Raw genomic sequence first — 17,322 nt, 5'->3', positions numbered from 1 at the left:
TTGTTCCCCTTTTCTAAGATTGTTTTGGATACAAGATCAATATGTAAGAATCAGTTGTATTTCTTTTTTTTTTTTTTTTTTTTTGGATGGAGTTTCACACTTGTTGCCCAGGCTGGAGTGCAATGGCATGATCTCGGCTCACCATAACCTCTGCCTCCCAGATTCAAGCGATTCTCCTGCCTCAGCCTCCCAAGTAGCTGAGATTACAGCCATGTGCCACCACACCTGGCTAATTTTGTATTTTTAGTAACGACAGGGTTTCTCCATGTTGGTCAGGCTGATCTCAAACTCCTGACCTCAGGTGATCCACCTGCCTCGGCCTCCCAAAGTGCTGGGATTACAGGCGTGAGCCACTGGGCCCGGCCAGTTGTATTTCTATATCCCTAAACAATCGGAAATTTATTTTTTTATTATACTTTAAGTTCTAGGGTACATGTGCACAACGTGCAGGTTTGTTACATATGTATACATGTGTCATGTTGGTGTGCTGCATCCATTAACTTGTCATTTACATTAGGTATATCTCCTAATGCTTTCCCTCCTCCCTTCCCCCACCCCACAACAGGCCCTGGTGTGTGATGTTCCCCTTCCTGTGTCCAAGTGTTCTCATTGTTCAATTCCCACCTATGAGTGAGAACATGCAGTGTTTGGTTTTTTTGTTCTTGCGATAGTTTGCTGAGAATGATGGTTTCCAGCTTCATCCATGTCCCTACAAAAGACATGAACTCATCCTTTTTTATGGCTGCATAGTATTCCATGGTGTATATGTGCCACATTTTCTTAATCCAGTCTATCGTTGATGGACATTTGGGTTGGTTCCAAGTCTTTGCTATTGTGAATAGAGCCGCAATAAACATTCGTGTGCATGTGCCTTTATAGCAGCATGATTTATAGTCATTTGGGTATATACCCAGTAATGGGATGGCTGGGTCAAATGGTATTTCTAGTTCTAGATCCTTGAGGAATCGCCACACTGTCTTCCACAATGGTTGAACTAGTTTACAGTCCCACCAACAGTGTAAAAGTGTTCCTATTTCTCCACATCCTCTCCAGCACGTGTTGTTTCCTGACTTTTTAATGATCACCATTCTAACTGGTGTGAGATGGTATCTCATTGTGATTTTGATTTGCATTTCTCTGATGGCCAGTGATGATGAGCATTTTTTCATGTGTCTGTTGGCTGCATAAATGTCTTCTTTTGAGAAATGTCTGTTAATATCCTTCACCCACTTGTTGATGGGGTTGTTTTTTTCTTGTAAATTTGTTTGAGTTCTTTGATGATTCTGGATATTAGCCCTTTGTCAGATGAGTAGATTGCAAAAATTTTCTCCCATTCTGTAGGTTGCCTGTTCACTCTGATGGTAGTTTCTTTTGCTGTGCAGAAGCTCCTTAGTTTAATTAGATCCCATTTGTCAATTTTGGCTTTTGTTGCCATTGCTTTTGGTGTTTTAGACATGAAGTCCTTGACCATGCTTATGTCCTGAATGGTAATGCCTAGGTTTCCTTCTAGGGTTTTTATGGTTTTAGGTCTAACATATAAGCTTTTAATCCATCTTGAATTAATTTTTGTATAAGGTGTAAGGAAGCGATCCAGTTTCAGCTTTCTACATATGGCTAGCCAGTTTTCCCAGCACCATTTATTAAATAGGGAATCCTTTCCCCATTTCTTGTTTTTGTCAGGTTTGTCAAAGATCAGATGGTTGTAGACATGTGGAATTATTTCTGAGGGCTCTGTTCTGTTCCAACAATTGGAAATTTAAATTTAAAAACCAGTACAATTTACAATAGTGCCAAAGGTCATGAAACATTTAGGTATAAGTCTAATATATGGGTCCCTTCTGTTTCCATATGGACTTCAGGATCAGCTTGTCCATTTCTGCAATATTGGTATTTGGGATATTGAACAAGCCCTGCATGTCTGGGATAAGCCACACCTACCCTTCTTTCCTGTTTTCTCCCACCACTCCTCCCACCACCCTATACGCATATTCTGACCCTCCATTCCATTCTCTCTCCCTCCTCTGGCCCCTTGCTTCCCCACACCCCTTTTCACTTCTCTTGTGCTTCCACCTCAGGCCTTGGCTTAGCTGCCACTTCCACCAGGAAGGCTTCCATACTGCCTTTCTGTGGGTGCCCCTCCCATTTGCTCTCATAACTCCCAGACTGTCCCACTTTAAGCATCTATCACCCTTGATGGTAATGTGCGTGTACTTGTGTGGGGTGGGGGAGTTGACCAGCCAGCCTTCCTCATGTGGTCCTGACCACACACCGAAAACAGAGAAGTGGCATCCAATCCACACTTGACTTCCCGTAATTCCTCTACACTTTTTTCCCCACCCCATCCCTTATACATGTCAGGCATTGACACCATCAATGGCCAGTATGTGTTTAGAGAGACCACGTGAAGAATTTGACTATTGGCAAAGAATTATGACAAGCTGTTCAGGTATCAGGAGAAACTGGTTTCATCCCCATACAATGCATTAATTACAAGTCAAAGAGAACCACCGACAAAAATTTTAAAAACACACAGAACTACAGGCAGAAACGAAAAATGAAGTACCTGGGAACACAGCTAACCAAGGAGGTAAAAGGTCTCTACAAAGAGAAATACACTGTTGAAAGAAATCAGAGACGACACAAATAAGCGGAAAAGTATTCCATGCTCATGGATTGGAAGAATCAATATTGTTAAAATGGCCACACTGCTCAAAGCAATTTGCAGATTCAATGCTATTTGTATCAAACTACCAATGCCATTGTTCACAGATAGAAAAAACTATTCTAAAATTAATACGGAACAAAAAAAGAGCCTAAATAGCAAAAGCAATCCTAAGCAAAAATAACAAAGCTGGAGGCATCACACTATCCGAATATGAGGCTATAGTAACCAAAACAGTATGGTACTGGTACAAAGACAGACACATAGACCAACGGAATAGAACAGAGAGCCCAGAAATAAAGCCACCCACCTATAACCACCTGATCTTCAATAAAGACTATGAAGCAAGCAATGGGGAAAGAACTCCCTATTCAATAAAGAGTGTGGAGATAACTGGCTATCCATATGCAGAAGAATGAAACTGAACCCCTTCCTTACACCTTATACAAAAATCAACTCAAGGTGTATTAAAGATTTAAATGTGATTAAAGACTTAAATCACATGGATTAAAGATTTAAATGTGAGCCCTCGAACTATTAAAATCATTGAAGAAAACCTAGGAAATACTTTCTCAACAGCAGCCTTGGCAAAGAACTTTCGGCTAAGCCCTCAAAAGCAACTGCAACAAAAACAAAAATCAACAAGTGGGAACTAATTAAAGAGTTTCTGTAGAGCAAAAGAAACTATCAACAGAGTAAACAGAAAACTTTCAGAATGGGAGAAAATATTTGCAAACCACATCTGACAAAGGTCTGAAATCCAGAATCTATAAGGAACTTCAACAAATCAACAAGCAAGAAACAAATAACCCCATTAAAAAGTGGGTAAAGGACATAAACAGACACTTCTCAAAGGAAGACATACAAGTAGCCAAAAAACATTTGAAAAAGAAAGTTCATTATCACTAATCACCAGAGAAATGCAAATCATAAACCACAATGAGATACCATCTCACACCAGTCAGAATGCTATTATTAAAAAGACAATAACAGATGCTGGTAAGGCAATGAAGAAAAAGGAACGCTTATACATTGTTGGCTGGTGGGAATGTAAATTAGTCCAGCCACTGTGGAAAGCAGGTTGAAGATTTCTCAAAGAATATAAAACAGGGCTACTATTCAGCCCAGCAATCTCATTACTGGCCATATATCCAAAAGAAAATAAGCTGTTCTATCAAAAAGATACATGCTCGTATGTTCATCACAGCACTATTCACAATAGAAAGACATGGAATCAACCTAGGTGTCTATCAGTGGTGGATTGGAAAAGAAAATGTGGTACATATACACCATCAAATACTACGCCACCATAAAAAAAAAAATGAATCACATCCTTTGCGGCAACATGGATGCAGCTGGAGGCTATAATCCTAAGTGAATTGGCACAGGAACAGAAAATCAAATACTGCATGTTCTCACTTATAAGTGGGAGCTAAACACTGGGTATACATAGACATAAAGATGGGAATGATAGATACTGCAGACTACCAGATGGAGGAGCAGGAGGTGTGGGTTGGAAAACCACCTATTGGGCCAGGCGCAGTGGTTCACACCTGTAATCTCAGCATTTTGGGAGGCCAAGGCAGGAGGATTGCTTGAGCTCAGGAGTTCAAAACCAGCCTGGGCAACGTTGCTTGAGCTCAGGTGTTCAAAACCAGCCTGGGCAACATAGTGAGACCCTGTCTCTAAAAAAAAAAAAAGAGAGAGAAAAGAAAAGAAAAAGAAAAAAGAAAAACCACCACAGGTACTATGCTCACTACCTGGGTGATGGGATCTGCAGCCCAAACCTCAGCAACATGCAATGTATGCATGTAACAAGCCTATACATGTACCCCAAATCTAAAACTTGAAATTTTTTTTTTAATTGAGATGAAGTCTCGCCCTGTCATCCAGGCTGGAGTGCAGTGGCAAGATCCCAGCTCACTGCAACCTCTGCCTCCCAGGTTCAAGTGATTCTTCTGCCTCAGCCTCCCGAGTAGCTGGGATTACAGATGCACACGCCACCACGCTTGGCTAACTTTTTTTAATATTTTTTATTTTTAGTAGAGACAGAGTTTCACCATATCGGCCAGGCTCGTCTCAAACTCCTGACCTCAGGTGATCCACCTGCCTCAGCCTTCCAAAGTGCTGGTAAGGGAGGAGACCACCCCTCATGTTGTCTTATGCCCAATTTCTGCCTCCAAAGAAAGAAGTAAAAACTAAAAGGCAGAAATTAAATCCACGGGCTGTGCTGCACCCTGGGTCTGGTTAAAGATCAACTCATGACCTAACCAGTTATGTTATGTATAGATTCCAGACATGGTATGGAAAAGCATTGTGAAAATCTCTGTCCTGTTCTGTTCCGTTCTGTTTACTGGTGCATGCAGCCCTCAGTCACGTACCTCCTGCTTGCTCAATCGATCACGACCCCCTCACGTGGACCTGTTTAGAGTTTTAAGCCCTTAAAAGGACAGGAATTGCTCACTCGGGGAGCTCAGTTTTTGGAGACGTGAGTCTTGCTGTAGCTCCTGACTGAATAAAGCCCTTCCTTCTTTAACTCGGTGTCTGAGGGGTTTTGTATGCAGCTTGTCCTGCTACACTGGTATTACAGGCATGAGCCAACATGCCCTGCCTGAAATTTTTTTTTTTAAAGAACTATAGGCAGAGGAGGTTCCAAGATGGCCGAATAGGAACAGCTCCAGTCTACAGCTCCCAGCGTGAGTGACGCAGAAGACAAGTGATTTCTGCATTTCCAACTGAGGTACTGGGTTCATCTCACTGGGGCTTGTAGGAGAGTGGGTGCAGCCCACAGAGTATGAGCCAAAGCAGGGTGGGTCATCGCCTCACCTGGGAAGTGCAAGGGGTTGGGGAATTCCCTTTCCTAGCCAAGGGAAGCCGTGACAGAGAGTAAGTGGAAAATTGGGACACTCCCACCCTAATACTGCACTTTTCCAATGGTCTTAGCAAATGGCACACCAGGAGATTATATCCCGCGTCTGGCTCAGAGGGTCCCACGCCCATGGAGCCTTGCTCACGCTAGCACAGCAGTTTGAGATCAAGCTGCAAGGTGGCAGTGAGGCTGGGGGAGGGGCGTCCACCATTGCTGAGGCTTGAGTAGGTAAACAAAGCGGCCAGGAAGTTCGAACTGGGTGGAGCCCACTGCAGCTCAAGGAAGCCTGCCTGCCTCTGTAGACTCCACCTCTGGGGGCAAGGCATAGCTGAACAAAAGGCAGCAGAAACTTCTGCAGACTTAAATGTCCCTGTCTGACAGCTTTGAAGAGAGTAATGGTTCTCCCAGCATGCAGCTTGGATCTGAGAACAGACAGACTGCCTCCTCAAGTGGGTCCCTGACCCCCAAGTAGCCTAACTGGGGGGCACCTCCCAGTAGGAGCCGACTTACACCTCATACGGCTGGGTGCCCCTCTGCAACGAAGCTTCCAGAGGAAGAATCAGGCAGCAACATTTGCCGTTTTGTAATATTTGCTGTTCTGCAGCCTCCACTGGTGAAACTCAGGAAAACAGGGTCTGGAGTGGAACTCCGGCAAACTCCAACAGACCTGCAGCTGATGGTCCTGACTGTTAGAAGGAAAACTAACAAACAGAAAGGATTTCCACACCAAAACCCCATCTGTATGTCACCATCATCAAAGACCAAAGGTAGATAAAACCACAAAGATGGGGAGAAACCAGAGCAGAAAAGCTGAAAATTTTAAAAATCAGAGCACCTCTTCTCCTCCAAAGGAGCACAGCTCCTCACCAGCAATGGAACGAAGCTGGACGGAGAATGACTTTAACGAGTTGAGAGGAGAAGGCTTCAGATGATCGGTAATAACAAACTTCTCCGAGCTAAAGGAGGATGTTCAAACCCATCACAAAGAAGCTAAAAACCTTGTAAAAAGATTAGACGAATGGCTAACTAGAATAAACAGCATAGAGAAGACCTTAAATGACCTGATGGAGCTGAAAACCATGGCATGAGAATTACGTGATGCATGCACAAGCTTCAGTAGCCAATTCAATCAAGTGGAGAAAGGGTATCAGTGATTGAAGATCAAATGAATGAAATGAGGCAAGAAGAGAAGTTCAGAGAAAAAAAGAGTAAAAAGAAATGAACAAAGCCTCCAAGAAATATGGGACTATGTGAAAAGACCAAATCTACGTCTGATTGGTGTACCTGAAAGTGACAGGGCGAATGGAACCAAGTTGGAAAACACTCTTCAGGGTATTATCCAGGAGAACTTCCCCAATCTAGCAAGGCAGGCCAACATTCAAATTCAGGAAATACAGAGAACACCACAAAGATACTCCTCAAGAAGAGCAACTCCAAGACACATAATTGTCAGATTCACCAAAGTTGAAATGGAGGAAAAAATGTTAAGGGCAGCCAGAGAGAAAGGTCAGGTTACCCACAAAGGGAAGCCCATCAGACTAGCAGCTGATCTCTCAGCAGAAACCCTACAAGCCAGAAGAGAGTGGGGGCCAATATTCAACATTCTTAGAGAAAAGAATTTTCAACCCAGAACTTCATATCCAGCCAAACTAAGCTTCATAAGTGAAGGAGAAATAAAATACTTTACAGACAAGCAAATGCTGAGAGATTTTGTCACCACCAGGCCTGCCCTAAAAGAGCTCCTGAAGGAAGCACTAAACATGGAAAGGAAAAACCAGTGCCAGCCACTGCAAAAACATACCAAATTGTAAAGACCACCGATGCTAGGAAGAAACTGCATCAACTAACGAGCAAAATAACCAGCTAACATCATAATGACAGGATCTAATTCACACATAACAATACTAACCTTAAATGTAAATGGGCTCAATGCTCCAATTAAAAGGCACAGACTGGCAAATTGGATAAAGAGTCAAGACCCATCAGTGTGCTGTATTCAGGAAACCCATCTCACGTGCAGAGACACACATAGGCTCAAAATAAAGGGATGGAGGAAGATCTACCAAGCAAATGGAAAACAGAAAAAACCAGGGGTTGCAATCCTAGTCTCTGATGAAACAGTCTTTAAACCAACAAAGATCAAAGAGACAAAGAAGGCCATTACATAATGGTAAACCGATAAATTCAACAAGAAGAGCCAACAATCCTAAGTATATATGCACCCAGTACAGGAGCACCCAGATTCATAAAGCAAGTGCTTAGTGACCTACACAGAGACTTAGACTCCCACACAATAATAATGGGAGACTTTAACACCCCACTGTCAACATTAGACAGATCAACGAGACAGAAAGTTAACAAGGATATCCAGGAATTGAACTCAGCTCTGCACCAAGCGGACCTAATAGACATCTACAAAACTCTCCACCCCAAATCAACAGAATATACATTCTTTTCAACACCACACCACACCTATTACAAAATTGACCACATAGTTGGAAGTAAAGCACTCCTCAGCAAATGTAAAAGAACAGAAATTATAACAAACTGTCTCTCGGACCACAGTGCAATCAAACTAGAACTCAGGATTAAGAAACTCACTCAAAACCGCTCAACTACATGGAAACTGAACAACCTGCTCCTGAATGACTACTGGATACATAACAAAATGAAGGCAGAAATAAAGATGTTCTTTGAAACCAATGAGAACAAAGACACAACATACCAGAATCCTGAGACACATTTAAAGCAGTGTGTAGAGGGAAATTTATAGCACTAAATGCCCACAAGAGAAAGCAGGAAAGATCTAAAATTGACACCTTAAAATCACAATTAAAAGAACTAGAGAAGCAAGAGCAAACACATTCAAAAGCTAGCAGATGGCAAGAAATAACTAAGATCAGAGCAGAACTGAAGGAAATAGAGACACAAAAAACCCTTCAAAAAATCAATGAATCCAGGAGCTGGTTTTCTGAAAAGATCAACAAAACTGATAGACCGCTAGCAAGACTAATAAAGAAGAAAAGAGAGAAGAATCAAATAGACGCAATACAAAATGAGAAAGGGGATATCACCACCAATCCCACAGAAATACAAACTACCATCAGAGAATACTATAAACACCTCTACACAAATAAACTAGAAAATCTAGAAGAAATGGATAAGTTCCTGGACACATACACCCTCCCAAGACTAAACCAGGAAGAAGTTGAATCTCTGAATAGACCAATAGCAGGCTCTGAAATTGAGGCAATAATTAATAGCCTACCAACCAAAAAAAGTCCAGGACCAGACGGATTCACAGCTGAATTCTACCAGAGGTACAAGGAGGAGATGGTACCATTCCTTCTGAAACTATTCCAGTCAATAGAAAAACAGGGAATCCTCCCTAACTCATTTTTTGAGGCCAGCATCGTCCTGATACCAAAGCCTGGAAGAGACACAACAAAAAAAAGAGAATTTTAGACCAATATCCCTGATGAACATCAACGCAGAAATCCTCAATAAAATACTGACAAACTGAATCCAGCAGCACATCAAAAAGCTTATCCACCATGATCAAGTGGGCTTCATCCCTGGGATGCAAGGCTGGATCAACATATGCAAATCAATAAACATAATCCATCATATAAACAGAACCAAAGACAAAAACCACGTGATTATCTCAATAGATGCAGAAAAGGCCTTTAACAAAATTCAACAGCCCTTCATGCTGAAAACTCTAAATAAACTAGGTATTGATGGGACGTATCTCAAACTAAGAAGAGCTATTTATGACAAACCCGCAGCCAATATCATACTGAATGGGCAAAAACTGGAAGCATTCCCTTTGAAAACTGGCACATGACAGAGATGCCCTCTCTCACCACTCCTATTCAACATAGTGTTGGAAGTTCTGGCCAGGGCAATCAGGCAGGAGAAAGAAATAAAGGGTATTCATATTGTCCCTGTTTGCAGACGACATGATTGTATATTTAGAAAACCCCATTGTCTCAACCCAAAACGTCCTTAAGCTGATAAGCAACTTCAGCAAAGTCTCAGGATATAAAATCAGTGTGCAAAAATCACAAGCATTCCTATACACCAATAACAGACAAACAGAGAGCTAAATCATGAGTGAACTCCCATTCACAATTGCTTCAAAGAGAATAAAATACCTAGGAATCCAACTTACAAGGGATGTGAAGGACCTCTTCAAGGAGAACTACAAACCACTGCTCAATGAAATAAAAGAGGACACAAACAAATTGAAGAACATTCCATGCTCATGGATAGGAAGAATCAATATCGTGAAAATGGCCATACTGCCCAACATAATTCATAGATTCAATGCCTTCCCCATCAAGCTACCAATGACTTTCTTCACAGAATTGGAAAAAGCTACGTTAAAGTTCATGTGGAACCAAAAAAGAGCCCACATTGCCAAGTCAATCCTAAGCCAAAAGAACAAAGCTGGAGGCATCACGCTACCTGACTTCAAACTATATTACAAGACTACAGTAACCAAAACAGCATGGTACTGGTACCAAAACAGAAATATAGACCAATGGAACAGAACAGGGCCCTCAGAAATAATACCACACATCTACAACCATCTGATCTTTGACAAACCTGAAAAAACAAGAAATGGGGAAAGGATTCCCTATTTAATAATGGTGCTGGGAAAACTGGCTAGCCATATGTAGAAAGCTGAAACTGGATCCCTTCCTTACACCTTATACAAAAATTAATTCAAGATGGATTAAAGACTTAAATGTTAGACCTAAAACCATAAAAACCCTAGAAGGAAACCTAGGCAATACCACTCAGGACATAGGCATGGTCAGGGACTTCATGACTAAAACACCAAAAGCAATGGCAACAAAAGCCAATATTGACAAATGGGATCTAATTAAACTAAAGAGCTTCTGCACAGCAAAAGAAACTACCATCAGAGTGAACAGGCCACCTACAGAATGGGAGAAAATTTTTACAATCTACCCATCTGACAAATGGCTAATATCCAGAATCTACAAAGAACTTAAACAAATTTACAAGAAAAAATCAAACAACCCCATCAAAAACTGGGCAAGGGATATGAACAGACACTTCTCAAAAGAAGACATTTATGCAGCCAACAGACACATGAAAAAATGCTCATCATCACTGGCCATCAGAGAAATGCAAATCAAAATCACAGTGAGATACTATCTCACACCAGTTAGAATGGTGATCATTAAAAAGTCAGGAAACAACACGTGCTGGAGAGGATGTGGAGAAATAGGAACACTTTTACACTGTTGGTGGGACTGTAAACTAGTTCAACCATTGTGGAAGACAGTGTGGCGATTCCTCAAGGATCTAGAACTAGAAATACCATTTGACCCAGCCATCCCATTACTGGGTATATACCCAAAGAATTATAAATCATGCTGCTATAAAGGCACACGCACACATATGTTTATTGTGGCACTATTCACAATAGCAAAGACTTGGAACCAACCCAAATGTCCATCAACGATAGACTGGATTAAGAAAATGTGGCACATATACACCATGGAATACTATGCAGCCATAAAAAAGGATGAGTTCATGTCCTTTGTAGGGACATGGATGAAGCTGGAAACCATCATTCTGAGCAAACTGTTGCAAGCACAGAAAACCAAACACTGCATGTTCTCACTCATAGGTGGGAATTGAACAATGAGAACACTTGGACACCAGGTAGGGAACATCACACACCAGGGCCCGTCGTAGGGTGGAGGGAGAGGGAAGGGATAGCATTAGCAGATATACCTAATGTAAATGACGAGCTAATGGGTGCAACACACCAACATGGCACATGTATACATATGTAACAAACCTGCATGTTGTGCACATGTACCCTAGAACTTAAAGTATAATAAAATAAAAATAAAATAAAGAACTATAGGCACCATATCATGGGTGCAGTCCTATTTCAGGAATTTGCAAGAATGATTTTGACTAGAGAGTTTTGCCTCACTCGCTAGTTCCCACATAATATGTGACCATGCTGCTTTTGCAGGGGTGATATTCAAAATAATGAACAGCTGGAGCTGCACAGGTACTGAGCAGGGGCATGGCTGGAGCAGATCCTAGAGGGTGTGTGAAGTGTCCTGCCTGACCTCATAGTTGCTGGATCATGGGGAAGCCCACAGAGACTGGGGAAGCACCAGAGTGCATGGGTGAGGGGGAATCCACCATTTATCAATGAATACGGAATTGTTTCAATATTTTATTAACTAACATGGCTATCCTGGTTATATACGGGTTGAATACCAGCCCTGAGTACAGAAAGACCCATAGAGAGCTCTGTACAGGCAAGCATTGTTATTTATCATTGTTAAAAAAGCTGAGGACACAGCATTCACAAATGCTAAGCTGATCCCACAACTCCCCAGCTCACAGCCCCCAAAGCCTCCTTTACAAGAGGGCCATGCATGTCATCTGAATGCCCCTCCTGGAATCTCTAAGACCCCAGGGCGCCTCTGTTTGCACATTCATGCTCCACAAACCGCACTCACCTGGGTGCCCTTGACATTAGCGTTGGACTCCCACATGCCAGTGTTCTGCCTGAACATCGCTACCAGGCCGATGTGCTGATATCGAGGTGCCCCCAGAACCAGGCTTTGCACCCGGTTCCGTAAGATGATGGCGGCAGCATAACCTGAAGGTGGGGGTCTGAGAGGTGAAGTGCATTCCCTGCCCCCTCCTCCACCATGCAGACCCACCCCTTGAGTAGGGGCACTGGGGCAGCCCCACGCTTGCTGTGTTGGGGTAACTGATCCCTACGCTATATTTCTCTTTATGAACATAATTACAATTCAATTTAGAAGTTTCTGGCCGGGTGCGGTGGCTCACACCTATAATCCCAGCACTTTGGGAGTCCGAGACAGGCGGATCACCTGAGGTCAGGAGTTCCAGACGAGCCTGGCCAACATGGTGAAACCCGGTCTCTACTGAAAATACAAAAAAAGACCAGGCACGGTGGCTCACGTCTGTAATTCCAGCACTTTGGGAGGCCGAGGCAGGTGGATCACCTGAGGTTGGGAGTTCGCGACCAGCCTGACCGACATGGAGAAATCCCATCTCTACTAAAAATACAAAATTAGCTGGGCATGGTGGCACATGCCTGTAATTCCAGCTACTCAGGAGGCTAAGGCAGGAGAATCGCTTGAACCTGGGAGGCGGAGGTTGTGGTGAGCCAAGATCACGCCATTGCACTCCAGCCTGGGCAACAAGAGCGAAACCCCATTTCGAAAAAAAAAAAAAAATTAGCCAGGGGTGGTGGTGCATTCTTGTAATACCAGCTACTCAGGAGACTGAGGTAGGAGAATCGCTTGAGCGCAGGAGGCAGAGGTTGTAGTGAGCCGAGTGCCATTGCACTACAGCCCGGGCGACAAGAAAGAAACTCCACCTCAAAAAAAAAAATTGAAGTTTCTGTCTTTAAAGCTATCCCAAGAGACTAATAGCTAGTATCCCATACATATGTATCCCATTCATTCAAGACCCAGACATCTATGCTAGTTGACTTATGCCAAATCCTCACCCCTTCTTAGAGTAACCCTTGCCCTCCCCACTTACCCAAGTAAGCATCATTCATGTCTGAATCCACTCTGGTCATGTTGATGAAGGTGCTTTTCTCCTTTGATGTATATAGAAAGACTCCACCAGCCCAGTCATAGCTCCCCACAGTGCTCAGCAAGGGGCCATTCTGGGAAAGGTGTAGAACAGGGTTGATGAGGAAGGAAGAAGGGACAACCGCTGCCCCTCACAGAGCTACTTCCCAAGTATCTATCACAGAGAAGAGTCCCCAAACCCCCACATCTCTCCTATCTCTTCTTGCTACCCCCTGCCCCACCCCCGCAATTTAATGAAGGGCCACTTACAGAGGTGATGGCAGCGCTGAAGCCTTCCTGAGACATCTCATGCTCAAAGGAGCTGCTACTTCCTGTCTGAGTACCTGTAAAGAGGAGAAGTTTCTATATTAAAGAAAGCAGAAGGCCGGGCATGGTGGCTCACGCCTGTAATCCCAACATTTTGAGAGCCTGAGATGGGCAGATCACTTGAGGTCAGGAGTTAGAGACCAGTCTGGTGAACATGGTGAAACCCCGTCTCTACTAAAAATACAAAAATTAGCTGGGCGTGGTGGTATGCGCCTGTAATCCCAGCTACTCAGGAGGCTGAGGCAGGAGAATCACTTGAACCTGGGAGGCAGAGGTTGCAGTGAGCCAAGATCGCACCACTGCACTCCAGCCTGGGCAATAGAGCAAGACTCAGTCTCAAAAAAAAATAGAAAGAAAAGAAAAGAAAGCAGAAGAACCTAGAACAGGTACTGAAAACCCAAGTGCTCTGGTGGCCACAGACAAAGGAGACTCCGACAGGATCTGTGTCAAGCTGGACAGCATACGTCCCTCTTAGAAGGATGGCAGCCATTCACCTCCAGCAACATCCTGCCAAGTGGGAATGCGGTCTTCAAGGTGTCTAATCTTCCAGCTTTTCAAGATAAGCCATAAACCCAGACTGTTTATGAAATCCCCCAATTTCTAAATTCCTTTTATTCAACAAACATTTATTGAGCACCTTCTGAGTACCAGGCACTATTCTAGGCAATTGGGATACAACAGAGAACCGAACAGACGACAGCTGGCAACACATCCAAATTTTTGTTAAAATACTGGGTGGGATTTGACTCCCCCATACTCCAATTTACCAGCCTATAGCCAAGATTTGCAAAATTACAGATAAAAGTATGGATTCTTTGACTTCAAAGGAATTGACCAAGTGAGGCTGGGACTGGGAGCTGTAGGAAGTGGAGAGAGTTGATGCTGGGGGATACCAAGGGTTAGGAAGGTCTGGATTCTAGAGGGGACTATGTTCTGGGGTGGGGGGCTGCCTCTGGAGCTGCTCTGGGAACACAGATGCCTGACTCACCCTCGATCGCAAAGATCTTCTCCCGAAGCTGGTTCTGAATGGTCTTCAGAGCCTCAAAGTTATTCACCTGGAACACGTGATCACGAGGCGGCTTGGATGCGATGGTATTAAGCTCTTGGCGGGATTTCTCACTGCGGAAGGCATCTCCCACCTGTTACCAAGGAACAGAGGCTAAATCATGGTGTGAGGCTAGCAATATCATCTGGCAAAGACAATTCTGCAGGAAACTAGTCTGAACCATTATTTATCAAGTGAGGAAATGCATCAGAAGGTCCCTGGGACAGGGTTGCCAGGTATAGTTGGGCAGGTTGTACACTGCACAAGGCACTGTGCCAAGGAAGCAAGTTGGGGCAGAAACCCGGCTGCTGATCCATCTGCTGTGCCACGTCTCCTGGTATGGAGCTGACCTCCCCCTAGAGGAAGGGGAGCCTTTTTCTTTATATGAAGGTATGTCCTACGTGCCAAGGCATGTATCCATGGTGATATCGCTTTCTGTGTCATGCAGGTGCTGTAGTAGTTTGATTACACTGATGATCCTGACTCCTTGCCTCTTCCTGTATCCAAGCCCTTTCCCCCAGCACTCTGCTGTGCCCTCCTGCTCTTGGTGGAGTCATCTGCCCCCTTCATTGCCTCTGGGCTCAGACATGAGTCTTGCTTTAGCCCATTGTATACAGAGCACCCTTGACATAACTGACTCCATCTTAGAAAAAGGCTCCATTCTATATTTCACAGGGCACTTTGCCAACAAGGATAAGGTCGTTTTAAACAAATTTTTTAAATAGGCCAGGTGCAGTGGCTCATGCCTATAATCCCACACTTTGGAAGGCCAAGGCGGGCAGATCACTTGAGATCAGGAGTTCAAGACCAACCTGGCCAACATGGTGAAACCCCATCTCTACTAACAATACAAAACAAAAATTAGCCAGGCATGGTGGTGCATGCCTGTAGTCCCAGCTACTCAGGAGGCTGAGGCACAAGAACTGCTTGAACCCAGGAGGTGGAGGTTGCAGTGAGCCAAGATCATGCCACTGCACTCCAGCCTGAGCGATAGAGCAAGACTCAGTCTCAAAATAAATAAATAAATAAATATAAATAAATAAAATAAACAAATAAAGACTACATCCAACCAGATAAGGATGCAAACAAGCACATTCTTCTCTGTCTGTTCTCACCAGACAGCTCTGTGACTAGAAGAGATCAGGCCTTCAGCAGCTCAAAGCAGCTGTTGGAACTCACACCTCGCAGTCGCTCATGATGAGAGCCTGGCATTTGCTGCCGAGGGCTCTGCCGTATCAAAGACTCTGCCTTGCAAGACTAACAGGACCAGGACCCTTGGGCCCAGACCAGGAGTCCTTTTCATTCATCCTTTCTCCTCTTTCTTTTTCTTCTGATGTTAAATGTTACTTTGTTTGCTGTGGAATGTTTAACCTATAACTTATATATTGATTAAGTATACTATTATATATGGTTTGCAATATTGACTGACTTGTGGGTGGCTTGAGCCAGAGTGTCTGAGGGAACAGGATGCACTAAGAAGAACTGCCTCCTTGGGAATTCCATGCAGCTTGTGGCGTTTGTGATTGAAATAGCATCAGCGAAAGATGTTGTGGAAAAACACAAACCTGCATGGACCTGGTTATCGCTAACCTTGCACTGCTCGTGACACCCATGGATGTTATCAAACATGATGCAGAGGCGTAAAAAAGCACTTGCAACATCTCCACTGTTCTCTTGCTCCCCTGCCTTCACCATGAGGACATGCCCAGGCTAGCCCTGGAGAATGAGAGCCAGGTTGCCAAAGGGCCAAGTCACCCCAGTGGTTCCACCCAAGGCCATCTGGTCCAGCAGATGACATAGCTGGCAACCCTCAGAAACAGAGAGAGCCTGGCCAAGATCAGCAGAGCAGCCTGCCAACCTGTAGCTAATGACAGTGAGGAAGGCCATTGAGACCAGAACTCTTGGCAGGCTGACCCACAGGCTTACTTATTATTTTAAGCTGCTGAATTTTGGGATAGTTTATTACACAGCATTGATGTGGCAACAGATAGCTGATACGGTGTATATGAGCTAGCATTAGCTCTCATGTCACTTTGATTTTAATAATATTTGCAAATTGAAGGGAGGATGGATCCACATAGAAACCCTCCACAGAAGCATCAACCTGAGAGCTGCATTCCCTACCCCAATGACGTAGCGAATGACTCCCTCTCTGTCTGCCTCAGGGATGACATCCTCATATCCCAAGGGATCGCCAAACTTTTCTCCATCCGTGATGACAACTAGGATCTTAAAGGCATTCTTTCGGGCTCCGTTGGTGATGTTAAACAGCTCTCGTCTGTGCAGGAAACAGGAGGGACAAAGTCAAATGCAAGTAGATGACACACTAGTTTTTTTTTTTTTTTAAGAAATAGACACTCACTCTGTTATCCAGGCTGGAGTGCAGAGACACAATCATAGCTCACTGCAGACTTGAACTCCTGGGCTCAAGTGATTCTCCTGCCTCAGCCTCCTGAGTACCTGGGACTACAGGCATGTACCACCACACTTGGTTTATTTTTTTATCTTTTTAGAGATAGAGTCTCACTATGTTGTCAATTGGTCTCAAACTCCTGGCCTCAAGTGATCCTCCCACCTCGGCCTCCTAAAGTGCTGACATTACTGGTATGAGACCCTGCACCTAGCCAGAGATGCTATTAACGTCAGAAAGGAAATGTCAGCAGAGTCCCAGACACAGATACAGCTAGGCGAGGTCTCGGAGGGGCTCCGTCTCCCCTGAGACTTAGCACTGAGATGCAACTGCCCCGAGACCTGGAAAAGCAGCAGGGAAGGGAAAGGAAGCCTTCACGGTTTTTGTTTT

General features: G+C 43.9%; 1 protein-coding gene across 8 annotated transcripts in view, besides 2 other annotated features; it reads right to left on the bottom strand.

Moving 5' to 3' along the window:
* ITGAM (integrin subunit alpha M) overlaps nucleotides 1–17,322 on the bottom strand; it is a 72,903-nt gene that overhangs the window by 42,713 nt on the left and 12,868 nt on the right. For all 8 annotated transcript variants that reach the window (XR_950796.1, XR_007064878.1, NM_001145808.2 and 5 more), the window contains 5 exons: nucleotides 16,647–16,800; nucleotides 14,466–14,616; nucleotides 13,421–13,494; nucleotides 13,116–13,245; nucleotides 12,056–12,198 (listed from right to left, as the gene is read on the bottom strand). Coding sequence is in view for 6 of the 8 variants with exons in the window: in NM_001145808.2 (NP_001139280.1) it covers nucleotides 12,056–12,198; nucleotides 13,116–13,245; nucleotides 13,421–13,494; nucleotides 14,466–14,616; nucleotides 16,647–16,800 (652 nt within the window). In the remaining 2 variants the exon portion in view is untranslated. The remainder of the gene's footprint in view (nucleotides 1–12,055; nucleotides 12,199–13,115; nucleotides 13,246–13,420; nucleotides 13,495–14,465; nucleotides 14,617–16,646; nucleotides 16,801–17,322) is intronic.
* Nucleotides 4,930–6,129: an enhancer, noted in NCBI's record as "MED14-independent group 3 enhancer chr16:31295357-31296556 (GRCh37/hg19 assembly coordinates)". NCBI's record gives its function as "activates an origin of replication core promoter dependent on BRD2, BRD4, P300/CBP and CDK7 cofactors, and independent of MED14, by STARR-seq in HCT116 cells {active_cell/tissue: HCT116}" and the evidence as "EXISTENCE:reporter gene assay evidence [ECO:0000049][PMID:35650434]".
* Nucleotides 15,633–16,832: an enhancer, noted in NCBI's record as "BRD4-independent group 4 enhancer chr16:31284654-31285853 (GRCh37/hg19 assembly coordinates)". NCBI's record gives its function as "activates an origin of replication core promoter dependent on BRD2, P300/CBP, MED14 and CDK7 cofactors, and independent of BRD4, by STARR-seq in HCT116 cells {active_cell/tissue: HCT116}" and the evidence as "EXISTENCE:reporter gene assay evidence [ECO:0000049][PMID:35650434]".

Source organism: Homo sapiens, chromosome 16 (assembly GCF_000001405.40).
Source record: "Homo sapiens chromosome 16, GRCh38.p14 Primary Assembly".
NCBI classification, from domain to species: Eukaryota; Metazoa; Chordata; class Mammalia; order Primates; family Hominidae; genus Homo; species Homo sapiens.
Note: the sequence above shows the minus strand (reverse complement) of the source record. Positions and strands in the feature narration are given on the sequence as shown.